We start from the raw sequence: 26,891 nt of genomic DNA, 5'->3' as shown, positions 1-26,891 counted from the left end.
TCACGAGAATTAAATGAGAGACGAAGTAAATCACTTAGCACAGTGGCTAGTACTTCCTAAGGGCTTAAAGGGCAGCTATTATTTCTGCTTTACTTTTATACCACTCCTACAAGCACAAAATTTCTTCCATTCCTGTGGAACCAGCTTGCAGGCTTAAGATGAAAATAATTTGAGGACTAAAGTATTTTTATTTCGTTATTCCTACAGATAAACAAGGGAGACGTGGGAAGTTGGAATAACTTACCAAACCACCCAGGGCCAGCACCTTACACAGTTTAGATAAAAACGCAGGTCAGACTCCACGGCCTTGGATTTAAGCATACAGCACCGTGCTGCCTCACTAAGGAAGCTGGAAGCATTTAGCTCCCTTAGTTCAGAAGCCCAGCAGGGCTAACGTATTTATAGCAAGGACCCTAGGGCCCGGAAAAGCTACTGGCACACAGCAGGAACTCCTTAAACAAACTAGCGCCAGCTGACCCACATCTAAGTAAATGCCCTAGCACATCTTCCTTTCCTATAGGAGGAAAGTAGGGAAAAAAAAGTCTAGTAAATGTTAATATTGTTTGTATCGTAATTTTTAGTCAAACGAAGGCACTGAATCCACATGCAAGTTTCTCTTAGAGAGAAGGTGAACGTTTGCATTTGAAGGAGTGATGCCTGGAAGCGCTATTTCCAAACTCAGAGAATCCTCCCACACCAAACCCTCGCAGCAAGGTTCCAAGTCTCCTCTCTCCACTTCCAGGCCCCTTGTACCCGCTCAACGCCCAACCTCAACGTCCAGCGCCCAACGTCTGGCCCCCAACGACCGAAGCCCCCTCCCTTCCCCTTCATGCAGGCCCTCTCCCTCCCCTATACGCCTGGGAACCCTGACCTGGAAAGAGGCAAGAGGACCGCGGATCCGAACCTGTCTCTGCGGTCTGGCGGTGATGGCGACTGCCGATGCTGGGAGCCCTGCCGCCTGGGATGCGCCCTGCACTTCCCTCGCCTCCAATCCCCAGTGCGCCCTCCTGGCCTCAGCGCACGCCTGCGCACTCCGCGTCCACGTGCAACTCAATGTGCCCACGTGTTCCCTCCGCCTTCCCCGGAAGCAGCTTGTGCTCTAGTTACAGGCTCAAAAAGTTCCTTTGCAGAAACTTTTATTTTGTTCTAGCTTCTTCTAGAAAGATGTCTCTGGCAACGCCTTTGGCAAATTTGGGCGCAAAGATGCAGACTTTGTCTCCTCGAAGGTCACTTGGGTCACCGTGGCCACTTAAAGGTCTTCCAAGGTTTTCCAAATAATCAACAGCCTCTGCCTGGTCTTGGAAAGTAAACACACACGTGCTCATACTTTTTTTCTTTGCTTCCTGACTGAGGGCATGTGATTATACCTGTTGGTGTTACTTAAAGACAAGCTTTTTAAGTTTTGTTTTTTTTTTTTTTTGCTATGGAACTTTTCTAACAATTTCATAAGGGAACCCTTGTGTGCCTATCATCTAGTTTCTACCTTATCAATTCATGGTTAATCTTGTCTACATCTGCAGCCCAGGCACTCTTCGGGCAATGTTTTGAAGCAAATCCGAGAATTGTAAATGTGAGACAAAGTAGCGAACGTCTGCTTCTGGCCCCCAGCATAGTCCTCCCTCACTGTGAAAAAGCCACGTTTGTTCACTGTGTTTGTCAGCATTTCAGACCCCTTGACTTAGTAACATCTCAGCCCTCCAGAAGAATGCCTTGAAGACTGCGGAGAGAACTCAGGTTCCCACCTCTCAGAGTCACTGCATTTTTAGAAAAGATACTTTCAGAGATCTAGGCCTTGCCTTTTTCTGTACCTAACGGACAAGATTAATGATGATGCCTAGACTTACTCTCGCACCCAAACTTTGAAAATATTTTGATCTTATATAGCTTCTGGGCACTTTTAATGTAACCCCTGGGCAGAACCTCTACCACCTAATATTTAAAGTGTGCTGACCCACTGCTTTGGAGTAGTTTAACAGAAATTCTCTGGGCTCTCCCTGGTTGCAGTCCTCAGTAAGACTCTGAATAAAACTAACTTCACTAACTTCAATTCTTTAAAAGCCTGATTTTTTTTCTTTAGTTGATGTGTCTTTTAAATTTATTTTTTAGAGCAGTTTCAGATTTACAGAATAGTGAAATGAAAGTGCTGACTGGGCGTGGGGGCTCATGCCTGTAATCCCAGCACTTTGGGAGGCCGAGGCAGGCAGATCACTTGAGGTCTGGAGTTCGAGACCAGCCTGGCCAACATGGTGAAACCCCGTCTCTACTTAAAATAAAAAAATAAAAAAAAATTAGCTGGGTGTGGTGGCAGGCGCCTGTAATCCCAGCTACTTGGGAAACTAAGGCAGGAGAATCGCCTGCACCCAGGAGGCGGAGGTTTCACCGAGCCAAGATCACTGCCACTGCACTCCAGCCTGGGCAACAGAGCAAGACTGTCTCAAAAAAAAAAAAAAAAAGAAAAAGAAAGAAAGAAAAGAAGGTGCTGTACAGAGTTCTGACAGAAGCCACATCGTTTCCCCTATTATTAGCATGGTCTGTTAGCATGATACATTTGTTATAATTAAGGAACCAAGGAACCAACATTGATACAGTATTAACTAAAGCCCATCTTTTTGATTTCCTTCGTTTTTACCTACTGTCCCTTTTCTGATGCAAGATCTCATCAGGATATCATATTACATTTAGTTTTCATGGATCCTTAGGCTCTTCTTGGCCATGGGACTTCCTTAGACTTTGTTTTGATGACCTTGATGTCAAGTTTCCAGGAGTACTCTCAGGCCTTTTGTAGGATGCCCTACTTTTGGAATTTGTCTGATGTTTTTCTGCTGGTAGGAAAGGAGTTACGGGTTATTGGAAGGAAGACCACAGAGGTAAAAATGCCATTTTTATTGCATCATATCAAGCATACATCCTATGAATATGATTATGACAATTGATGTAGGATTTGGTCATCTGGCTGTGGTAGTGTTTGTTGGGTCTTTCTACTATATTCTTTTTTTTCCCTTCCCTTTTCATACTATACACTTTGGAAGGAAGCTATTATTTGAAGCCCACATTTAAGGAGTAGGGAGTTATGTTGTCCCTCTTTGAGGATGCAGTATCTGCAGAAATTATTTGAAATTCTTCTGCATGGGAGATTTGTCTCTTCTCCATTTACTAATTTAATAACGGACTCGGATATTTATTTTATACTTTTTTTTTCTTATTTTATACTTTTCTAATCCAAAACTACTGTATTTCCTTGCTCAGATTTTTCCAGCTTTGGCCACAGGAAGCTCTTTCAGTTGGTTTCTGTTCCTTCACATACTATCATCAGGTGGTATTTTGTTTGTTAAGCACTTTATTACTTTCTGGGATATTGTATCTTTTCATCCAAAAATATTGTAAGTAGGTGTCTTTAAGAGATTACCACTTTTTAAGTAATATCACCAAAACATATCCCAACTTTAAAAACAATAATTTCTCTTGCTTTCCTTTCTTTTCTCCTTTTTCTCCTTTCCTCTCCTTTCCTTTCTTTCTGAAAGGGTCTTGCTCTGCCGCCCAGACTAGAGTGCAGTGGCACAGTCATAGTTCACTGCAGTCCTGAACTGCTGGACTCAAGCCATCACCCTGCCTCAGTAGCTGGGATTACAAGTGTGAGCCATAGTGCCTGGCCATAATTTCTTAATATCATAAAATTAATACTAAACATTTCCAGATACCTCAAATGTTATTTTTTAATTTTCTTTTTAGAGATGGGATCCCACTGTGTTGTCCAGGCTGGTCTCAAACTCCTGAGCTCAAGCAGCCCACCTTGGCCTCCCAAAGGGCTGGGATTACAGGTGTGAGCCACCACACCCAGCCATTCAGATGTTATCTTAAATCGTTGATATGTTCAAATCAGTATCAAAACATCCTGTATTTGCACTCAGTGATATATTTTAAAAAGGGGTTTCTCTTTAAATCCTGTACTTCTCTTGCAATTTATTTATTACAGTAACTGCAGGGTTTTTTTTTTTTTCCATTCAATTTTGTTGATTGCATCCCCCGGCAGGAATACTTCACAGGTGGTGTTGTGCTTCTCTATTGTAGCATTTCAGAAAATACATAGTATGTAGTTGTTTCACTTTGGAGGATATTAAGATTGATCTAGTAGGTTCAAGTGGTGCCAGCCCCATCCATCCATTACAATACGAAGCTTCCTATCAGTTTTTCATCTAATGGTTCTAGATTCACAGATGACCATTACCTAGATCCATTATTTCATCAGGGTTTGCAAAATGGTGATCATCTATCTTTCTTTCTGCAATTATTACATGGAGTTCTACAGAGAAGAGCTTCCCCACATTGACTATTTGATTGACATTCAGTTTGCAACAGGAAAGGTAGGATGAATGCTTGATTCTTTATCAGTTCTCAGATTGTAATGACTTGTTGGCATCTTTCCAAGAGGGTCAATGACATTAAAAAAAATAAATGCACTCACTGATTTTTTTACATAGTGCGTCTCAACCAGTTGCTGTTATTATTTTTGAATGCTAAATTTGTCCTGTTTGAGAAGTTGGGGCATCTTTGAACTGCCTTCTGAGTCTTTTGGGTACAGTTCATGTTATCTTTGCTTTTCTTCCTTGCTTTCTGCTACAAGCAATATGTCCTAGGCTATCTTGCATATTTCTTGCCCCTACTGGGAATCAGCACTTAACCTCCAAGAGAAGCCAAGGTAACTTTTTTTGGGCAATGCTCTTTAGAGATCACAATCTGGGGAATAGGAGTGTGCAATGGGTTGGTCACTGTTCTAAGAGTTTTCAGTGGACACACCTTTTTTTTCACGAAAAAAATGTACCATGAGTTAATTCTGATATTTGTAAATTCAAATATAGGATTGCAGAATTTTAATATAATGTCTTTGGTTTATATTTGTATTTCTTTTCTCTTATGGTGAAAAACTTGGTTCACAAAGATATATTTATATACTTTATACTAATTATAAATTCAGAAATATTCAGAAATAGTAATACCTATGTTATTACTGACGAGTACCGAAAACAGCTTAAGGTTTCTTCAGTTTTTTCCCCTTGGATTAATGTCTCCCTAGGAAGGCTTGGTCGATTTATTGTTTTAAAGTCAAATCATTTATTTTCTATGACAAGACACTTTAACTGCAAAATGTGCTTCAGTGTAGTACCTTCATTTAAGGAGGAGTGAGGTGCCATTACACCTCCGTGTGTGTGTTTTGCCAACAGTATCGAAGACGCTTAACAGAACAGTAGTAAGTTTTGCTTTACAAATTCTTACATTGCAGAATCGTCTGCATCAGCTATTTTCATTCATGAGATATGTGTAAGACCTAAACCAAAGAACATCGTTTCCCCGGACTGAGGAGGTTTGCGAAACCTCCAGAGACTGAACTGCTGACCTTCCTTCTCTGGGCCGGGCGAGGCAACTGTACCCAATACACTTTTTGTTGCCATGCTGCGTGCCAGGTTACTCAGCCGGGAGAGGACACTTCCTACCATCAATGCGCTCAGCTTGAAGCCAGAGACGAAGGCACCGACAGTTTATTATTAAACAATGGCAGCAGCGCCACGCTGAAGACACGAACGCGCTGTTATGGAACCCCCAGAGGTCTCCCCCATCGTAGCCTGCTCCAGCCGACTCCGCCCACGTAAGGTGCAAGGTTTCCGCATGAGAGCCGGGAAGCCACAATTTCAAATTCTCTTTTATTGCTTTATGTCCCTGACTCATGCAGGCCAAAGGGTGAGGAGGAGTAATAGCCAACAAGAGCGTCCTGCAGAAAGAAACAGGCTGCGTGGGTCCGGAGGAGCTTGAAAGGAAGAACCCGACCAAAGGGCAGGAGACCCGGCTCTCCAGGTCGCGGAGGCGTGGGTGCCCAGCCAGGCGGAGTGCGGGGCGGGGCCTCTCGGGCCGCAAGGTGGGGCCTCCTGGGCCGGGAGGTGGGAGGTGAGCTCCGCCAGCCCAGCCCACTGCAGACAGGTTACCCAGGACCTCAAGGTGTGCTGCGTCACCCCGCCCGCGCTGCGCTGATTGGTTCCTCCAGGGAGCCCCCGCCCCCTCAGCTGTAACCGGGCCGGCTTCAGTGTCGCCGCCATCTTTGTTGATGTGTCAGCTCCGCAGGGGTTTGGGGAAACGGCCGCTGAGTGAGGCGTCGGCTGTGTTTCTCACCGCGGTCTTTTCCTCCCACTCTTGGCTGGTTGGACCCCGCTATGGAAAAGTTGGCCCCTGAGCCAGAGCTCCAGCAGCCTTGTTAGGGCGTGGCCTGAGGCTTGGATAAGTGGGGTAAGTGTCTGAGGGGTACTCGGGGCACACCGGTGAGTCGCGGTGGCGGTGCGGTGGGGCTGCCAGCCTTCCGCTCCTTCCTGCACGTTCCGTGGCGGGGGCGAGGGCGAGTGCGAGGTGGAGGTCGAGGTCGAGCGGGCTCCCCGCCTGGCTCCTTTGAGGGCGCGGAGGAAGGGGAGGGCTGGGGAACGGGTTTCAAGCCCTTTCCTCTCCCTGCCTTCCTCCTTCGGTTCCGGGACCTTGGAGGTGGCAAAGAGGGGTCAGCGGGGGTCGTGGGGGCTGTGCCTCGAGAGCGTCTGAATTCGAGCCCATTGCCTGGGCTGCGTGTGAACTGCAGCCAAGCCCTACCTGCTCGAGAATCTTTCCTAGACTCAATCGCCTATTTCGTTTTTCGTCTCAAGTTGACTGTATGTGGGTGTTTTATATTTACTGTTGTGAAGACTTGTTACCCTCTTCCAAACACTTCCATTACTGTGATTCTAAGTTCCTTAGAAGTGATTCTTTGGAGTGGTGGATACTGTTCTTTATGTTGTCTTTCAAGGACGTCAAGGCATTTCATAAACCTTGGTTGGTAAGGAAGGGGTTTCAGATTTATGTCTCCATCAGTAATGAAAAATGGCAAAAACAAAACAAAAACCCTTCTACGTGTCCCTAAGTAGCAATCTTGGGAAACAGTGCAGGTGTGAGTATTGCTTAGCTGTTAACAGTTTAACAACTTCACCTAATATTCCCATCTTGATTTTGTTTAGAGGAAAAAGTCCTGGATTTCGAGTCAGAACATCTGGATTAGAATCCTACTTCTTTCACTTGATAATCTTGTTACCTGTGGAAATCAGAAGAGAGAATATAGTAAAAATACGCAGTACAGTCCCAGGTACTTGGCCGTTTTCTCTGCATGTGTGTCATGTTCCTTTGATGCCCAGCTTTTTTTTCTTCCAAAACGATAGGCCGGGTGTTGTCTTCTAAGGTGTTCAGTAAATCAGGGTTTCAAGAGGTGTGCTGGTAGTCATTCAGAAGAAATTAATCTGCTATTATCTATTTAGGTATGCTAGTTGTGGGTGTGGCTTTCCCAACTATCAAGTACACCTTAATATTTACCGAGTGTTCATCTCGTGGGAAGGATTCAGGTTCAAGAGAGATTGATAGTGAAACTGAACTATCTCTGTGTGTAATGTACACTGTTCCCTGTGTAACTTCAATTCTTTATCCAACATTACACAAATAAAAAACAGTAATGATTGGCTAGGTTCATTTTTCTCTTTTATTTCTGGTCTTTTCATGTTATTTTTAATGCAGTGAAGATATTAGATCACGAATCTTGCAGTATTAAGAATTAAAACTTTTTACAGCATAATAGGCAAACGTATGATTACTGAAGATTCTCCCTGGAAATGCATGGATTGTGTTTGTTTTTTAAAGGCCCTGTTAAATTCAGAATAACTGCATATAAACTTAAGGTTTCTTTAAACAGTGGAGATTCCATAGTGTGTCATTGGCTTTTGAGTCCTATTTATTGCTAACGGAAAGGGTTGGCTGGTGTGTATCACAGTGACCACTCTAACCTTTTAGTTCTTTCACCCATAAAGTAGAGTTGTCCTTTAATGCTATGCAGTGACAGCATAGCTAATGATTGCTTAGTATGTTCAGTTTAGAAACATCTATTTGCAGCTTTATGCTGACATCACAGAGTGAAGATAAAAGCATTGCAGTATACTGACTCCAGGAAGAGACAGTAGGTTGAAGCACAAAGCAGCTTTATTTGGAGATTTAGAAAATAATCTTTCCCTTTGAAGAAGGACTGGTAATCTGCACTAGTTTCTCAAATTCATGCAACAGTTTCGTGTTAAAGTAAGAATCCTTACCCTGAAATTTTTTTTCTTTTAGTAAAACTTAGGTTTTTCTTTTATCTCTACCTTAAAATAACTAAAGCTGGTTTTTCAATTTCTCATAAACATATCACTGAGTTTACAGTATTGCAAATGTTATACTTAGTATTCATTTTAGGGGCAGCAGTGAGATCATAGATAATTTAATCTATTGTTTCAAACTGCTTTGAACTTTCTTAGCTACTGAGATTTAAAAAATGTATTTGGGCTAAAAAGTAAGAAAAAGGAAAAATACTGAGATGAAGGGACAGTAGACACAAAGTGGAAATCAGCACCAGCATAGTTTTGATTGGATTGTGAGTGTATTTCTTATTAACATTTGTCTATCATTAAGACACTTGAACTGATAATTGTGGGATTATGTAGACTATGTAATGTCTACCGCACTTACTACATAATCCCACGGTAGACTATCAGTTCATGTTTTTAATAAAGTAGAGCATACCAAATTAACCAACTCTGGCCAAAGGTGTCTTCAAAATTTAAACATTAACCCAAACTTTTTAATGTAATGCAGGCTTATAACTTGAAAAAAAATTTTTTTTAAAGATACTAGGCTTCATTTTGTTTAGTTTTTTGAGACAAGATCTCAATCTGTCACCCAGGCTGGAGTATAGTGGTATGATCATAATTCACTGTAGCCTTGAACTCCTGGTCTCAAGCAATCCTCCTGCCTTAGCCTCCTGAGTAGCTAGGACAACAGGCACAGGCCACCATACTAATCTTTTTAATTAAAAATTATATATTATTATTTTTTATAGACCAGGTCTTGCTATGTTTCCCAGGCTGTTCTCTTAATTCCTGGCCTCATTTGATCCTCCCATCTAGGCCTCCCAAAGTGCTGGGATTACAGGTGTGAGCCACCTGTAAAGGAAGGCCTGAGAGCCTTCCTTTTTGAAAAAGGAACTATAGGTCAGATTTTTTTTTACCTACTTTATTCCTTTTCAGATTTGGAGGAAAATTAGCTGATAATACTTTTCATGTTTTCTTAGACTCATTAAAGTGCAAGTGCAATCTTCAAATTAGATTTCTGTATTAGTAGGAAGTCATTTCTGATAACTTTCTGCTTTAGTATTTTAAAGTATTTATAGGAGACATGTAAAATTACCGAGCTGATATGACATATATGGTGTAACTTGATAAGGTGAACTATGATGTGGCCACTGACCCTCTTTTTCATGGAATTTTGATGGACCATAATTTCTCTTTGTCCTGTTATCCTATCACAGGATTTGGTACTATTTGGGAGTTGGTGGAGGGTGGGGGGGTCTTGCCGCATCTATTGCTCAAGTCTTTTTTTTTAAACATCTTTGTGTGTGTGTGTGTGATATAATGCACATATCATAAAGTTCTTGCCCTGAGTCTGGATTGTAAAGCTAAACATACCCCCACAGGGATAAATAACCTTGGTCTCATAAAACAAACTTTTCAAACTGGTGAACTAAAGGAAACTTTTTTATTCTAATGCTGTTTCACTTAAACTCAGTATATTACAGTTAAATTTGTGCCAACCATGGTGGCTCACATCTGTAATCACAGCACTTTTGGGGGGTTGAGGTGAGAAGATTGCTTGATGCCAGTAGTTTGAGATCACCCTGGGCAACATAGCAAGACTCCATCTCTACAAAACATTTTTAAAAATTAGCTGGGTTTGGCGGCATGTACCTGTAGTCCCAGCTTCTTAGGAGGCTGAGGTGGGAGGATCAGTTGAGCCCAGGAATTTGAGGCTGCAAGTGACCTCTGACTGCACTCCAACCTGGGTGACAGAAAAAGACCCTGTTTCTAATAGTTTCTAATAATAAAAAGTTAGCTTTTACCCAAAAGCTTAATAGGATGTGACTACTTTAAAAATTATTTCTTTTTGTAGAACTTATTTACAGTTTTTTTTTTGAAATAGCCCTCTCAGTTTTTATCTTTTAAAAGCAGAATTTGATCTGCATAAATTCACCTTGTATGAAACTTAAGTGTCAGGTATTTTCATCATGTGAAACAACATTTTCATGTTTCATACACAAGTTCTTTTCCATCCTATTATTCTGTTTTTAAAAAGCTAAGTTAAAAATATTATCTGGGTATGGTGGCATGCACCTGTAGTCTTATCTACTTGGGAGGCTTAAGTGGGATGATTGCTTGAGCCCAGAAGTTTGAAGCTGCAGTGACCTATGATTGAGCCACTGCATTCCAGCCTGAATGACAGAATGAGACCCTGTTTCTACACATAAATAAATAAGTAGGTAGCTAGCTTTATCCAGAAAGTATCTTTTAAAGTTAATTATTTATCAAAAGTCAGTTATTTGGGGGTTGTGAGCAGGTTACATTGAACTGTGTGGATGCGTTTTTGATTTGATTTTACTTCTGACATTAATTACAATATCAATCTTGATAGAACTAGTCAGAAAGATGTTATTCTTTTGTTTATGCTGCTTTCAAGGTGTTTTTGGAGAATACAAACTCTTTTGATGTAGGTACTTTTCCTACAAAGGACAATAAACCATTATATTGAAGAACAGGAGTGGTCTCAAGTTCAGTTTGCTTAATGGATATTACTTGAGAAGTGTACAACTGGTATTATTTAAGAATGGTATGGGCTGGGCGCAGGGGCTCATGCCTGTAATCCCAGCACTTTGGGAGGCTGAGGCTGGTGGATTGCTTGAGGTCAGGAGTTCCAGAGAGCCTGGCCAACATGGTGAAACCCCATCTTTACTAAAAATACAAAAATTAGCTGGGTGTGATGGCACAACCCTGTAATCCCAGCTACTTGGGAGGCTGAGCGGGAGAATCGCTGGAACCCAGGAGGCAGAGGTTGCAGTGAGCTAAGATGGCACCACTGCATTCCAGCCTGGGTGACAGAGTGAGACTCCATTTTTAAGAAAAAAAAAAAAAAAAAAAAAAAAGAATGGTACTACAGTTTATAATTTAAAAATTTATAGTCTGTGAATGAAGCCAAATTTCTCTTAATATACTTAAAACACTTCTGCATTTCTTACTTAGCTTCTGATGGAGCCCTGGCAAACCTTAAAGTTAAAATACTGTAACATTAAATACTGTAGAATTCATAATACTGTAGTGTTTATTGGCAGTAAAACACGAAGAATAAAATGAGGATTTCTGTTTTATTCACTGCCATGTTCCCAACACCTAGAATACATATTAATAGATGCTCAATATGTATTTGGTAAAAATGAACATCTAGTTTGGAAATGTATCTCTTAGTACCTTTGCATGAGACTAGTTTGTTTGATAACCTGTTACTGAATATCTGTGAGTTTGTAATCGCCTGACAGGTTCTTGCCTGCTGCACAGATAGAGGCAGTTTACTGAGACAGCAGTATTGCAATAGAGAAAGTTTTAAGAAATGCAGAGGCAGCCAAGTAGTAGTAAGAAGTTAATTACTCAAACCAATCTCCCTGAAAATTAGGAGACTAGGGTTTTTTAAGGATAATTTGGTGGGCAGGGGGCTAGGGAATGGGGAATGCTGATTGGTTGGGTCGGGGATGACTCATAAGGGGTTGAGGCTGTCTTCTTGTGCCAAGTCACAAGACCAGTCGAGCCAGTTTAGTGGTCCAGGTGGCAGGCATCAGCTGGTCCATCAAAATGCAGGGTCTGAAAAATACCTTGAACCAATCTTAGATTTTACAATAGTGATGTTATATATAGGGGCAATATTTGCAGTTTATCAAACCTAAATTTTTTGTTGTTTATACTGCTAATTAGAAAAACAGGAAATGGAACCAGAAGACAGTGTTTTCATTTACGTGGCTCTTGTATGGAAATAATTTTGTAGAAATGTGAGTTCTTTCATTAAAAAATAAGTTCCAGAGTGGGTAATGGTTGACTTTAAGGCAAGTAAAAAATTGTTTCTTGACCAGTTGCCTACAGCTGATGAGCTCCAGTAAGAGCGAAACCAGTTCTCACCCACTGAAATGATTTCGAAGTGTGAATTGGTCCTGTAGTACTGTGTCAGAAACAGAAACAACTCTAAGGGAGAAAAAGTATTTGAGTTAAAAGGAATTTTGTGACTGTACTGTATTATAGTATTTCTCCTAATGAGTAAGAGTTGCTAAAAGGTATTATAATCTATAATTGTAATTACTATATATATATATGAGTGTAAATTTGCTTTGTACAAGCATTTCTTTTTCTTAGAGAACGAGTCTCACTCTTGCTCAGGCTGGAGTACAGTGGTGCCATCATAGCTCATTGCAGCTTTGAACTCCTGGACTCAAGTGATCCTCCCATCTCAGCTTTCTGAGTAGCTGGGACTACAGGTGCATGCCACCATGCCCAGCTAACTTTAACAATTTTTTTTTTTTTTTTTTTTTTTTTTTTACGGAGATTAGGTCTTGTTATGTTGCCCAGGCTGGTCTCAAACTCCTGGGCGCAATAAATCCTTCCACATCAGCCTTCCAAAGTGTTGGGATTACATGCTGCACCCCCAGTGTATCAGCACTTCTTAAATTAAAATAATCTTGCCAACTAATGTCTTGTTTTACATCCTTCCCCTTTAGTCTACTACTTGCCATTCTATCCTTAGTAGCCTCGATGACGGCTCCCCTTTTACCCCATACCTCTCTCCCCCAAAAAAGCTTGGACAGCAACCAAATTGGCTTGTATCAGTATTGTCAACTGGAGGCCTACATGAGGACTCAGCTTACTGTTTTTCTTCTGGTTAATTGTGGACATAATCAAGTTCATTGCTTTTTCTCCCCATCTGCTACCACTCTTGTGCAGCTATTTATGGTGATGGCTTTGTTACGTATATACACATAGACCATTGTTAATCCCCTCCTTTTCCTTTGGCTGCCAAACAGTATTCATTTGAACATCATCAGAAGGTGTGCAAGCACTTTGGGAGGCCGAGGCGGGTGGATCACGAGGTCCAGAGATTGAGACCATCCTGGCCAACATGGTGAAACCCCGTCTACACTGAAAATACAAAAATTAGCTGGGCATGGTGGCTCGTGCCTGTAATCCCAGCTACTTGGGAGGCTGAGGCAGGAGAATAGCTTGAACCAGGGAGTCAGAGGTTGCAGTGAGCCGAGATCGCGCCATTGCACTCCAGCTTGGCAACAGAGCGAGACTCCATCTTTAAAAAAAAAAAAAAAAAAAAAAACCAGCTTGCAAGCTAAGTAGTTATCACATGCCAATTTACATGATTTTTCTTAAAGTCATGAGCATATTGCTGACAGAAGTTACAGAAAGTACTTGCCTTTTGAGGTTAATCTGAGTCTTCCTTAATTTACAGGAGGAGGATATGTAAAACATTCTAAGCTTAGGTAACCAAATAAACAGCTTTTTAAATCTAGATGAATATCCAGCAGGATGACACGTTTTTGTTGTTCTATACTGTCTTCCACATTGTCATCTTACAACCTGTTTTCCATCCACTGAATGCTGTTTGCTCCCTAGATCACTGTGTAAACCCAGTTGACCCCACCTTCATTTGTATAGCCACTGAAGAGCATTTGCAAAAATGCGTGTAAATGTAGTAGAGAATATGTTTGTTAGATTTATTATTACTGTCATATTGCATGAGACTTAAGAGTTTGATTCAGTTCAGAGGGAGGTTCCATCTTCGTGCAAGTACAAAGATCATTTAAAAGGCTAAATGCTGCCTCTTCAAAAAGGTCACAAGAAAGGCTCTATGTGCTTGATGAGTGTAAATGCAGTGTTTTTAAATTTACCCTGAGAGACTATTTTTGTACTTGTGATGAGAGAAAATTTGGAGGAAGATGTGACATTAGAATTGGTCCTTTAAACATAGACTTCAGATAGACCTAAGGGAAGAACATTCTAGTTGAGAACAAAGCCATTGAAATGTTAATACGCAAGTTGGGGGAATCTTTGAGTTAGACTGGTTGGGCTAGTAAAGTATGATGGAGTGCCAGGATTTCAGGAATGTGTTGAGAGATAAGAATGGAAAAGTAGTACAACTGGTTTACTGAGGAATCTTAAATCTGGGTATAAACGTGAAATGGTTTTATTTTTTCCTTACTGGGTCTCCAGTCATACAGTGTAAAACACTCCTAACCTCTGTACTTTCCTCTGCAGTGCAGTCCTTTAAGAATCCCTTGGTCCGATGTAACTTTGCCGCCACTTTTGGTTACTACAAAAAACTTATTCCAGAAATTAAGACAGGTTCTAGCCATTAAAAAAAAAATGAAGTCACAAACTCATTGTTTTCTCTGAAGAAAAGTTGAAGCTGTTCCCAGCTGCTTGGCATGAAGAGGTATAATTTGACTCAAAGATGTGCTCCCTCTCCTTACTTTTTTTTTTTTTGAGACAAAGTGTCTCGCTCTGTTGCCCAGGCTGGAGTGCAATGGCACGATCTTGGCCCACTACAACCTCCGCCTCCTGGGTTCAAGCGATTCTCCTGTCTCAGCCTCCCGAGTAGCTGGGATTACAGGCACCCACCATAATGCCCGGCTAATTTTTTTTTGAGACAGAGTCTCGCTCCGTCGCCCAGGCTGGAGTGCAGTGGCGCAATCTTGGCTCACTGCAACCTCTGCCTTCCGGGTTCAAGCAGTTCTCTGCCTCAGCTCCCCGAGTAGCTGGGATTTCAGGCGGCTGCCACCACGCCCAGCTAATTTTGTATTTTTAGTAGAGACAGGGTTTCGTCGTCTTGGCCAGGTTGGTCTTGAACTCCTGACCTTGTGATCTGCCCTCCTTGGCCTCCCAAAGTACTGGGATTACAGGCGTGAGCCACCACGCCCAGCCCACAAGTTATATCTTAAAGTGAGTTACTTTGGGTGAGGTAATGTAGGTGGCAGTGCCTCTGTTTGAGAATTATTTTATTTTGTCCTAGATTTTGGAATACAGAGTACTTACGAGGTCTTTTATTTACTCCGTTTATTTGTATTGTCTAAACCAAGCCTTTAATACTAGTGTGTGCTTTGGCTTGGTTATAAAATATCTGCAGCAAAATAATGATAATTTGGTTGTTTGGAAACATATTTATACAGAGAGGTAGAGTATTTAGGCCAATGGCTGTCTTAGTTGATGCCCCAGAGGGCAGTCTAGAAATTAGCATATTTAGCAAACAAGCTGGTCTACTTTTCCTTTCTTACACTTATTCCTCCCATTTTCGACATTCCTAGAATAATGTTTCTCAAATACTAGTGTTACCATTTCTGTGCTTACAGGCTTTAATTAAACAAATATTTGAGAACCCACTATGTGCTAGAAACTCTGCACTGTAATTAAGTCTACAAGTCACTGTGATTTACTATGATTTGTTCTTAACAAAATTCACTCCTGCTTAGCCTTCTATGGAATCTACCTGACCAGTCTTCTCTCTCTCTTTTCATCATCCTCTGATAACCACCTTTATCCCAGCCTGATGTAACCATGCATGTTTTGTTATTTAAAAATTTAGTATATCTCTCCATTAGTTTTCCATTAGTTTATATCTCATGTATAAACTAGAGCTATTTTCCATTAGTATATCTCTTATCTGGAATTATTGCTCTGTTATTTCTGTCAAAACTATGATCTGTCCTCTTTTTAATCTAACCTCACATGGTTTCAGTAACTCATTACCTTGTACATGCTTTGTTGATACCTGACAAAAGAAGTCAACAATTTTTTTTATCAAGATTGTGGAAATATTTTATAATTATGTGTTGTGGGATAATATTTGAAGATGACTAATTGTCATAAAATGGCTAGAATAGTAACCTCCATAAACAATATAAAAATCTATCCTATGCCGGGTGCGGTGGCTCACCCCTGTAATTCCAGCACTTTGGGAGGCCAAGGCAGGTGGATCACCTGAGGTCAGGAGTTTGAGACCAGCCTGGCCAACCTGGTGAAACCCTATCTCTTCCTAAAAATACAAAAAATTAGCCAGGTGTAGTGATGGGCACCTGTAGTCTCAGCTACTCGGGAGGCTGAGGCAGGAGAATTGCTGGAACCTGGGAGGCAGAGGTAGCAGTGAGCCGAGATCTCACCATTGCACTCCAGCCCGGGCAACGACAGTGAGACTCTATCCCAAAAAAAAAAAAAAAAAAAAAAATATATATATATACACACACACACACACACACACACACACACACACACACTCTAACTTGGTCAAATTAATAAAGTTGCTTTTATTGACCTAGGCAGTGCATATGGGCTCCATTTTATTTGTACTGGACATTGTTTTTTTCCTGATGAGAATGTTTGAAAATCACCATGGTACTTCCTGGATTCCTGCCTGGATGAAAAACTAATTTCTACCAGGGATTCTTTACACCCTGACTTCATTATGGCTCAAATCTAGATCTCTGGGCTATAGATAGTTGTGTCTTGTTATTTAGGTTTCCTTCTTAGTAAATTTTTATTTTCTTTAATGTGCGTTGTTTTGTTATCTTGGTTTGTGATTTCTAGTGCTTTTATTGGTGTATTATTTCTCCAGTATTTTCTTACAGATTTATGAGGTAGTCTTTTTTTCTTTACAGAGCTGAAGGAATTCTAAGCATTCTTTGGCACTCGTCTAGTTGCTAGCGTTACTCCTTACCTAACATCTTATGGGGATGATTGGAGAATGCCAGACTACAACTGAAATTAATTAATGAAGTTGTTTGACTGAAATGAAGGAGGAAAGACAGACTTTGCAGTGGCCCTACTGCTTGTAGCTAGCCAGCTTGGGTTAGCTGTCCTAGTCCTTTTTCTTTTTTCTCAAGGACAGGCTTTTAAAGGAATTGTTAGTGATAAAATTTGTGGTGTTAGTTATTCCACATCACAGAGTGTGTGCAAGTTTGTATGGGGTTTTGGTTTAAAGTGGTTTTTAATTTTGATGTTTCAATTTCTTAGATGTAAAACGAAGATCAGGAGCAGATTTGAAGAATTACAAAGTGAATTGGTGCCAGTCAGCATGTCAGAGACAGACCACATAGCCTCTACTTCCTCTGATAAAAATGTTGGGAAAACACCTGAATTAAAGGAAGACTCATGCAACTTGTTTTCTGGCAATGAAAGCAGCAAATTAGAAAATGAGTCCAAACTATTGTCATTAAACACTGATAAAACTTTATGTCAACCTAATGAGCATAATAATCGAATTGAAGCCCAGGAAAATTATATTCCAGATCATGGTGGAGGTGAGGATTCTTGTGCCAAAACAGACACAGGCTCAGAAAATTCTGAACAAATAGCTAATTTTCCTAGTGGAAATTTTGCTAAACATATTTCAAAAACAAATGAAACAGAACAGAAAGTAACACAAATATTGGTGGAATTAAGGTCATCTACATTTCCAGAATCAGCTAATGAAAAGACTTATTCAGAAAGCCCCTATGATACAGACTGCACCAAGAAATTTATTTCAAAAATAAAGAGCGTTTCAGCATCAGAGGATTTGTTGGAAGAAATAGAATCTGAGCTCTTATCTACGGAGTTTGCAGAACATCGAGTACCAAATGGAATGAATAAGGGAGAACATGCATTAGTTCTGTTTGAAAAGTGTGTGCAAGATAAATATTTGCAGCAGGAACATATCATAAAAAAGTAAGTTTTTTATACCTTTAGGTTATTTTTTTTCCCTCACAGGCACAGGGATTCGAGATAAAATTCTTTAAAGGAAAATACCATTTTGTTCATTTTTACTTGCACATTAGAATCATGCACATAGTAGTTGAACAATAAATGTATAGTTGCTGAATGTGTGAGCAAATGTCGAGTTTTTCAGATATCTGAGTTCAATATGTTAAATAGTGTAAATGTATTAACGTGCTAGAAATTTTTATAGACAACTCAAAATTTTTCACTTTTGAAAGAATGTAGAAGTATATTGTCAAAACTAAGAGAAACTCAAAAGGAAATAACAAGTCATAAAATTCCACAACTTTTTCTTAAAATCTGCATTCTAAATTCATTGGTTTAAAACATTAAAATTTAGAGAACAGAATAATTGATTATCGTTCAGTAAATAATAATACAGTTTTGGATATGTGAAGTTCTGTTTTCATGATAGTTTAAAATTTACCATCTTAACCATTTTTATGTGTACGTTTCAGTAGTGTTATTATATATTCACACTGTTGGACAACCAATCTGCAGAACTTTTTCACTTTGCAAATCTGAAACACTGTATTCGTTAAACAACACTATTTCCACTTGCCCTCAGTCCCTGGCAACCACCATTCTACTTTCTGTTGCTGAGTTTGACTACTCATGATACCTCATGTAGGTGAAATCATATACTTTTCATTTCATGACTGGCTTATTTCATTTAGCCTAATGTCCTCATTTATCCATGTTGTAACATGTCAGAATTTCATTTCTTTTTAAGGCTCAATAATATTGCATTGTATGTATATACCACATTTTGTTTATTCATCCATTAATGGACATCTGGGTTCCTTCTGCTTTTTGGCTGTTGTTAATAATGCTACTGTGAACTTGGGTTTGCAAGTATCTCTTCAAGACTCCAAGGCCCTTCTTGATATTACCCCCAAACAAATGCCTGCTGTTGCTATTCATATCCTTACTGTAATACTATATTATGTGAATAAACTGTATGCTTTTGTACTTGAACCATCAGTGCTGCTGCTATTCTTGCATTTTATAGGGTAACTTTCTCATTTTCCTGTAGCCTGTACCTATTCTTTTAGACCTTCCTCTTGAGATTATCTCTGATGCCTCTTCCCACTTTACTGAGATCTAGACTCTTACCATTTTCATACCTCCCTTATAAATTATAAGATGTTATACATTTAATAATAATAGCAGTAAACATGTATATGCTGATAATTAGGTGCCTGGTATATTACATTTATTAGTTCATGGATTCTTCACAAGAACTCTCTGTGACATGTGCTGTTATCCCCATTGTACAGATGAGTTACCTGAAGCGCAGAGAGAGAAAAAGTAACTTGCTCAAGGCCACATGCTAACAAATGCAAAGTTAAAATCTGAGCTTTGTGAGTGGAGCTTTAGAGCTTTTTCAAATACGGTTATTAGAAATGAACCAGTTACAAGGTGTTAAATTTACCTAAAAATATGAGGAATAGGGTAGAAAATTGGTTTCTCTTTTTTGCTTCATCCTGTCAGAACAGTGACAGCACGGGTGAGTGGAATAATCATAATTCTGATGTCTGGTATTTGGAAGATACCCATTGGCATTTGCCAGCTCTGTTGTCTTGGCCAAGTCAACCTCTTTGAGTGAAAGATTTTTCACCTTAGAGTGACAATACTTACCTGATGGAACTGTTTGTGGACATTAGGACATTACACAAATGTCAGATGTTATTTTAAATCAAGGTTAATTTTTGGTTATACACATGATGTTTTTAATTCCAAATAAAATACTTTGTGAGTCAGGTTAACTCTAAAACAACTAAATTTTTTTCTTAACTTTTTTCTTCATCTAATTTTCTATGAAGAAAACTTCCTTTTACTTTCTTTGAAATTTTAATGAATGCATCTATTTCCAAATCTTTGTTTATACATTCCCTCATTTTTCCCCCAGCTTTATTGAAATATAACTGATAAAATTGTATATATTTAAAGAGGTACAATGTGATGATTTGATATACATCGTGAAATGATTACCACAATCAAGTTAGTTACCACATCGGTCACATCACAGTTACCTTTGTGTGTGTGTGGTGAGAACATTTAAGATCTACTGTCTAAACAAATTTCAAGTGTACAATATGATATTATTAACTGTTATCACCATGGAGTATATTAGATCCCCAGAACTTACTCATTTTATAACTGAAAAGTCTGTAGGCTTTGGCCAATATCTCCCCTTTTCCCTCACCCCCTGTGCCCTGGCAAGCACCATTCTTCTCTTTATTTCTGTTCTTTGATTTTTGAACACATCAATATTACTGTCTAAGGTTCCAACCAAATTTTTTTTTTTTTTTTGAGGTGGAGTTGTGCTGTGTCACACAGGCTGGAGTGCAGTGGCGCGACCTCAGCTCACTGCAACCTCTGCCTCCTGGATTCAAGCAATTCTCCTACTTCAGGCTCCCAAGTAGCTGGGACTACAGGTGCCTACCACTACACCCGGCTAATTTTTGTATTTTTAGTAGAGACAGGGTTTTGCCATGTTGGCCAGGCTGGTCTTGAACTCCTGACCTCAAGTGATCTACCTGCCTCAGCCTCCCAAAGTTCTGGGATTACAGGCGTGAGCCACTGCGCCTGGCCCAAAAATTCTTTATTTTATTTTTTTGAGATAGGGTCTTGCTCTCTTGCCCAAGCTGGAGTGTAGTGGGTGTGATCTCAGCTCACTGCAGCGTCAACCTCCTGTGCTCAAGTTGTCCTCCCACCTCAGCATCCCAAGTAGCTTGGACAACAGGTGCGCACCACTAGGCTCAGCTAATACTTTTGTGGTTTTTTTGTTTTAGAGATGGGGTTTCACGATGTTGCCCAGGCTAGTCTGGAACTCCAGAACTCAGGCTATCCACCCACACTGGCCTCCCAAAGTGCCAGGATTACAGGCATGCACCACTGTGCCTAGCCTAAAATTCTTTTTTTTTTTTTTTTTTTTTTTTGAGACGGAGTCTCGCTCTGTCACTGAGCTAGAGTGCAGTGGCGGATCTTGGCTCACTGCCACCTCCGCTTCCCAGGTTCAAGCGATTTTCCTGCCTCAGCCTCCTGAGTAGCTGGGACTACAGGCACGCCCTACCACACCCAGCTAATTTTTGTATTTTTAGTAGAGACGGGGTTTCACCATGTTTGCCAGGGTGGTCTCGGTCTCTTGACCTCATGATCCACCCGCCTCCACCTCCCAAAGTGCTGGGACCAAAATTCTTAATTAAGAACAGTTGTCTGTATATAGAATATGCATTTGGCACATAAGTAACAAATTGAGTGTTTACTGCTTTTCACTTCCCCCTCCCTTTGTTGTTCACTTGTGAACTATAGGCAGGACTCTTGTGTCTCAAGTAGTTTTCTGTAGCAATTGAGTATGCCTCACATAAATGATCTAAGTTAAACCACTGTGTCATAAAAGGCTTGAATAAACATGCATATATTTGCCTTTTTTCCAAACATTTGTATGATTGTTTCCTCACTGATTCCTAGGCTCAGCTGTCACCTTCTCAGAGAGGCCTATCTAGACTACTTATCTAAAATAGCAGCTCAAGTCACTCTCTGGCTTTTCGCTCTCCTTTATTTTTCTTAATAGGATTTAATCACCAGCTGACATTTTATTATATATCTAGGGTCCATTTTTATTTTATCCCCTAGAATGTAAGTTCCACGAGGGCAGGGACTATTTGCTGACATATTTCCCACATAAAATAGATGCTGAGTAAGTACTGGTTGAGTTAATGAGTGATCTTCAAAGTAGAAGGTGGAAAGGCCTGGGGCTTTGGAAGTATACCTGGATCCAAAACAAAATTGAAAGTTCAACTGCTTACTAGCTGTGTGACCTGGAACAAGTCTTAGGCTTCAGTTTTGTTTTGCTGTTAATATTTTTATTTTATTTTTAGAGACAAAGGTCTTATTCTGTTGCCCAGGCAGGAGTGCAGTGGAGCTCACTGCAGCCTGGAACTCCTGGGATCAAGTGCTTTTCCTGGGACTCCTGGCATGAGCCATCATGCCTAACTAGTTTTTTTTTTTTTTAATTCGTAAAACAGAAGTGATGGTAATGATAATAATTTCATAGACTTATTTTGAATACTAAATGAAATAATACACTTTTTTAAATTAAAAAAGCTAAATTTAGCCAATAGCAAGTGTGCAATAAATGTTAGGTTACAGCTATTGCTAATTAGTCCTAGAGTACTTGCTGTTAGCTTTCTTAGGCATCTTACATTTCTAAGCACTTTGCAGGCAGTTTTTGAGACTTTATTTCTGTTTTTCTAGGGGAATTCAAGATGATATTTCTGCTTAGATTTTATTTTGCTGTTTTACATTGACTGTACATTATAACTATTAGACTATCATTAAAATATTTTTAAAATCTGAAGCAAGACTTTTCAACTTTAGCAGTATCGCCACTTGGGGCCAGATTCTTTGTTGTTGTTGGAGTTGTCTTGTGCATTGTAGGATGTTTAGCAGCATCCCTGGCCTCCATCCACTAGATGCCAGTAGCAGCCCCTACCCTTGTTAGGACAACCAAAAATGTCTTCAGACAAATGCCTGGAAGGGCAAAATTGCCCGTGGCTGAGAACCACTTATTTGAAGAGTGCCAGTGCTGACAGGATTGGTGCATAATTGAGATACCTGAAGGTATAAATCTGGAAGGGTGTGCTTTTCATTCATATGATTCTATTTTGATTTGAAATATTCATATTTCTAGGGAAAAGTTAATAGCCTAATGGGCCAGAGAATCTTTTGCAAAGTATTATGTTTCACTATAAAATGATTATTTAGGAATGTTAATTTATTAACATAATGAATAATTATAGATATCTGTACCCTGATCTGTAAAGAAATTATATTCCACATATTATTTTATCTCCATTTTAAATTATGTTTTACATACACTGCCCTTTTTATATTTAGGTTAATTAAAGAAAATAAGAAGCATCAGGAGCTCTTCGTAGACATTTGTTCAGAAAAAGACAATTTAAGAGAAGAACTAAAGAAAAGAACAGAAACTGAGAAGCAGCATATGAACACAATTAAACAGGTAAAAAAGACAAAAATCTTCGAAGACTATACTTCAATTAATAAAATAAATACATTCCTGGCAGCCGATTGTGGCAGCTCATGCCTGTAATCGTAGCACTTTGGGAGGCCAAGGTGGGCGGATTACTTGAGCCCAGGAGTTTGAGACCAGCCTGGGCAACATGGTGAAACCCTGTCTCTACAAAAAAAAAAAAAAATAGAAAATTAGCTGCATATGGTAGCATGCGCCTGTAATCTCAGCTACTAAGGAGGCTGAGGTGGGTGGATCACTGGAGCCGGGGAGATTGAGGCAGCAGTGAGCTGAGATCGTGCCACTGTACTCCAGCCTGGGTGAGAGAGTGAGACCTTGTCTCAAAAAAAAAAAAAAAAAAAAAAATTCTGAAAACTTGCATGTAGGTTGGAGTTCTATAAGGTAAATCATATTTTAAATGCAGAGAATTGCATGGCATTTAAACCATTCTCCTTTACAAAGTAGGACTCATAGCCTGATGTATTTCCTTTTATGTAAGTTTATTCTTATGCATGTGACTCCTGTACTGCATGTAGTAGAACATACTCTGTTATGTTCAAAATAAGCAAAAAGACGATTTGAGTTGACAGTCAACTAGACTGTTGTTGCCAACAGGGAGGAAGCAATGGAAATATAAAAGTTTATGTCTGGCATTAGGATGTTTTTAAGTTTATATTTTGGTATGGTTCCATTCTCAGTATTTTTAAAAACTATATTGTGAAGGCTGGCTGTCATACTTTAGATTGTATCTGGCTTACTGGCTTTCCTAGCCTGTCCTTTTCCTTCTTTTTTTTAATTTATTTTTTGTTTTTTCTTTGAGACAGAGTTTTGCTCTTGTCACCCAGGGTGGAATTCAGTGGCACAATCTCAGCTCACTGCAATCTTTGCCTCCTGGGTTCAAGTGATTCTTCTGCCTCAGCCTCGGGAGTACCTGGGATTATAGGCGGCCACCAACCACACCCAGCCAATTTTTGTATTTTTATTAGAGACAGGGTTTCACCGTGTTGGCTAGGCTGGTCTTGAACTCCTGACCTCAGGTGATCCACTTGCCTTGGCCTGGCCTCCCAGTTCTGGGATTACAGGCATGAACCACTGCCCCTGGCCTCTTTCTAGTTTTTAAATGAACTCCTCTGATGCATGAATCAACAAAGTGAGTATTCAGACTAATAGGAAAGCTGAGTTGCTCTTTATTTTTGAGGTGCTTTTTCTTCTGTGAACAGGATTAGAAGCATTCTAGCCTTAAAAGTATTTTGTCTCATCTTTCAAAGAAAGTTATATAATGAAAATAACAGTAAACAATTGGTAAAACAATTTTTCACTTGATGCATGATTGGAAGGTGACTGTATTTGTAAAATTGTATGTATTTAATCCTGATTTTTATGTGCTCTAGGGTCCCCACATATAAACCAGAGTTAGAATGGTAAAGTGTGAGGGAGTCTTAACAGGCTAAATCCATATTTCGGTAGTCAGGTCACTCAATGACCAGAAACTTCAGACCGAACAGGTACAATGGAACCAGAGCCCTTCCTTTCATGAGCTTATTAGTGGGCTTTTTTTGTTGTTGTTGTTGTTTTTAAAGAGAAAAGCTTTTCCTTCTTTATTTTATTTCTAGATCTGCACTATCTAATGTGGCATCCACCAGCTGCATATAGCTATTGAGCACTTCAAAGGTAGCTAGTCTAAATTGAGAGGTGCTGTAAGTGTAAAATACACATGTAACTTAGAAGAGTTAGTATAAAAATAAAACAGCTCATTTTTTTCATGTGGATTGATAATATTGGAATGATAATATTTGGATATATTGGGTTTAATAAACTCACTTGTTTGTAATTTTTATTTTTTATTTTATTTTATTTTATTTTATCTTTGAGATGGGGTTTCGCTCTTGTTGCCCAGGCTGGGGTGCAATGGCGCGATCTCGGCTCATAGCAACCACTACCTCCCAGGTTCAAGCGATTCTTCTGCCTCAGCCTCCTGAGAAGCTGGGATTACAGGGGCCCGCCACCAAGCCTGGCTAGTTTTTATATTTTTGGTAGAGACAGGGTTTCACCATGTTAGCCAGGCCAGTCTTGAACTCCTGACCTCAGGTGATCTGCCCATCTTGGCCTCTCAAAGTGCTGGGATTACAGGCGTGAGCCACTGCGCCCAGCTTCTTTTTACTTTTTAAAGTGTGACTACTAGAAAGTTTAAATTCCACATGTGGCTTGTACTTCTATTGCTCAGTGTTGCTCTAGATAATTTTGTAATAAGGAAAATTAGTATATGTGTACTATAAGATTTAGGTCTTTTTCAACAGGTTTATTGAGATATAATTAACTTTCCACACAGTTCACTTATTTTAAGTGTACAATTCAGTGACTTTTACCTGTGCAACCTTTACCACAATTTTAGAACATGTCATCACCCCAAAAAGAAATGCAACACACATTAGTAGTCACTTCTCATTTGCCTCCAACAGTACTCCCTCAACCCTGCCCTAGGGAACAAGTAATCTTTCGGTCTCTATATATTTGCCTGTTCTGGACGTTTCATATAAATGGAATTATATAATAGGTACCCCTTTTTATCTAGCTTCTTTTATTTAACATAGTGTTTTTAAGATTTCATTCAAGTTGTAGCATGTATCAGTACTTCATTGTTTTTAATGATTGAATAGTAGTTCATTATATAGATATTTGATGTTTTAATATTTTGTTTACCCCTTCATCAGTTGATGGACATGGGAAAATGGGTTGTTTCTGCCATTTGACTATTATGAATAATACCACTGTGAACATTCACGTGCTAGTTTTTATGTGTACATATGCTTTCATTTCTCTTGGGTGTATACCTAGGAATTAATAGAGTGAGTTGGGAAGTGTTACTTTTTGGGGGAAGAGCAAAAATTTGTGAAGAATTGGTATTCTTCTTTAATTGTTTTAAAGAATTTTACCTGTGTAGCCACCTGGGACTGAATTTTTCTTTGTGGGTAGGTTTTTGTTGTTGTTGTTCTTTTTTATTATGCTAATTCAGTCTCTACTTGTTATAGGTCTATTCAGATCTTCTATTTCTTCTTGAGACAGTTTTGGTAGTTTGTGTCTTTCTAGGAATTGTTCATTTTGTCTCTAAGTTAAATTGTTCATACTATTTATTTATTCAATTATTTTTATTTCTATAAGGTCAGTAGTAATGTCCCTCTTTCATTTTGATTCTAGTAATTTCAGTCATCTTTCTTTTTTCTTCAGTCATTCCAGCTAAAGGTTTGTCAGTTTTCTTCATCTTTTCAGAGAACCAGTTTTTGGTTTTGTTTGTTGTCTCTGTTTTTCTTTTTCTTTTCTTTTTTTTTTTTTTTTTGAGACAAGGTCTGGCTGTTTCACCCAGGCTGGAGTGCGATGTTGCGATCTCGGTTCACTGCAACCTCTACCTATGAGGCTCAAGTGATCCTCCCACCTCAACCTCCCGAGTAGCTGCTACTACAGGCGTGCATCACCACATCCAGCTAATTTTTGTATTTTTTTGTGGAGATGGGTTTTCACTATGTTTCCCAGGCTCGTCTCGAACTTGTGAGCTCAAGCGATCCACCTGCCTCAGCCTCCCAAAGTGCTGAGATTACAGGCATGAGCCACTTCACCTGGCCTTGTCTCTGTTTTTCCATTCTAGTTTTTATTTTTTTCTTCCTCCTCTTTGTGTTTGGTTTAGTTTGCTGTTTTTCTGGTGTCTTAAGATGCAAGTATAGGTTATTAATTTGATACCCTGTCTTCTTTTTTTTTTTTTTTTTGAGACGTCATTTCGCTCTTGTCACCCAGACCGGAGTGCAGTGGCGTGATCTTGGCTTACTGCAACTTCCACCTCCTGAGTTCAAGCGATTCTCCTGCCTCAGCCTCCCAAGTAGCTGGGATTACAGGCACCCGCCACCATGCCCAGCTAATTTTTGTATTTTTGGTAGAGACGGGGTTTCACAGTGTTGGCCAGGCTGGTCTCGAACTCCTGACCTCAAGTGAGCCTCCTGCCTCTGCCTCCCAAAGTGCTGAGATTACAGGCTTGAGCCACCCCGCCTGGCCCCCTTTCTTCTTTTTTAATATAGGTATTTGTAGTTATAAATTTTCCTCTAAGCATTCCTTTAGATGTGTCTCCTGAGTTGTGGTATATTATGTTTGCATTTTTATTA

At 39.7% G+C, this 26,891-nt stretch overlaps 2 protein-coding genes and 1 non-coding gene across 31 annotated transcripts in view, besides 4 other annotated features; 2 read left to right on the top strand and 1 right to left on the bottom strand.

Annotated features, from left to right (window-relative positions):
- Nucleotides 1–5,414, bottom strand: part of TDRD1 (tudor domain containing 1) — a 57,793-nt gene extending 52,379 nt beyond the window's left edge. For 15 of the 24 annotated variants that reach the window (NM_198795.2, NM_001385365.1, NM_001385369.1 and 12 more), the window contains exon 1: nt 872–1,001. The gene's annotated coding sequence lies outside the window, so the exon portion shown is untranslated. Of the gene's footprint in view, nt 1–244; nt 694–871; nt 1,002–5,392 lie in introns of those variants that run through there. The other 9 variants (NM_001385363.1, XM_047425486.1, XM_047425490.1 and 6 more) reach the window with 5 other exon arrangements.
- Nucleotides 5,750–6,019: a silencer, noted in NCBI's record as "silent region_2842". NCBI's record gives its function as "represses an Ori minimal core promoter by ATAC-STARR-seq in GM12878 lymphoblastoid cells {active_cell/tissue: GM12878}" and the evidence as "EXISTENCE:reporter gene assay evidence [ECO:0000049][PMID:35858748]".
- Nucleotides 5,750–6,403: a biological region, named in NCBI's record as "H3K27ac hESC enhancer GRCh37_chr10:115933644-115934172".
- Nucleotides 5,875–6,403: an enhancer, noted in NCBI's record as "H3K27ac hESC enhancer chr10:115933644-115934172 (GRCh37/hg19 assembly coordinates)". NCBI's record gives its function as "activates a minimal SCP1, AML or CMV promoter by ChIP-STARR-seq in primed H9 embryonic stem cells {active_cell/tissue: H9 hESC(primed)}" and the evidence as "EXISTENCE:reporter gene assay evidence [ECO:0000049][PMID:30033119]".
- Nucleotides 6,068–26,891, top strand: part of CCDC186 (coiled-coil domain containing 186) — a 53,359-nt gene continuing 32,535 nt past the window's right edge. For 2 of the 6 annotated variants that reach the window (NR_135815.1, NM_001321829.1), the window contains exons 1-4: nt 6,068–6,273; nt 7,023–7,147; nt 16,959–17,651; nt 22,608–22,734. Coding sequence is in view for 5 of the 6 variants with exons in the window: in NM_001321829.1 (NP_001308758.1) it covers nt 17,020–17,651; nt 22,608–22,734 (759 nt within the window). In the remaining variant the exon portion in view is untranslated. Of the gene's footprint in view, nt 6,274–7,022; nt 7,148–16,958; nt 18,681–22,607; nt 22,735–26,891 lie in introns of those variants that run through there. The other 4 variants (NM_153249.1, NM_018017.4, XM_011539915.4 and 1 more) reach the window with 4 other exon arrangements.
- Nucleotides 6,080–6,279: an enhancer, noted in NCBI's record as "active region_4081". NCBI's record gives its function as "activates an Ori minimal core promoter by ATAC-STARR-seq in GM12878 lymphoblastoid cells {active_cell/tissue: GM12878}" and the evidence as "EXISTENCE:reporter gene assay evidence [ECO:0000049][PMID:35858748]".
- Nucleotides 6,109–6,183, top strand: MIR2110 (microRNA 2110). The gene has a single exon (NR_031747.1). It is a non-coding gene; the product is annotated as a microRNA 2110 (primary transcript).

This window comes from Homo sapiens, chromosome 10 (assembly GCF_000001405.40).
Source record: "Homo sapiens chromosome 10, GRCh38.p14 Primary Assembly".
NCBI classification, from domain to species: domain Eukaryota; kingdom Metazoa; phylum Chordata; class Mammalia; order Primates; family Hominidae; genus Homo; species Homo sapiens.
This window is presented reverse-complemented; position numbering and strand designations above follow the sequence as displayed.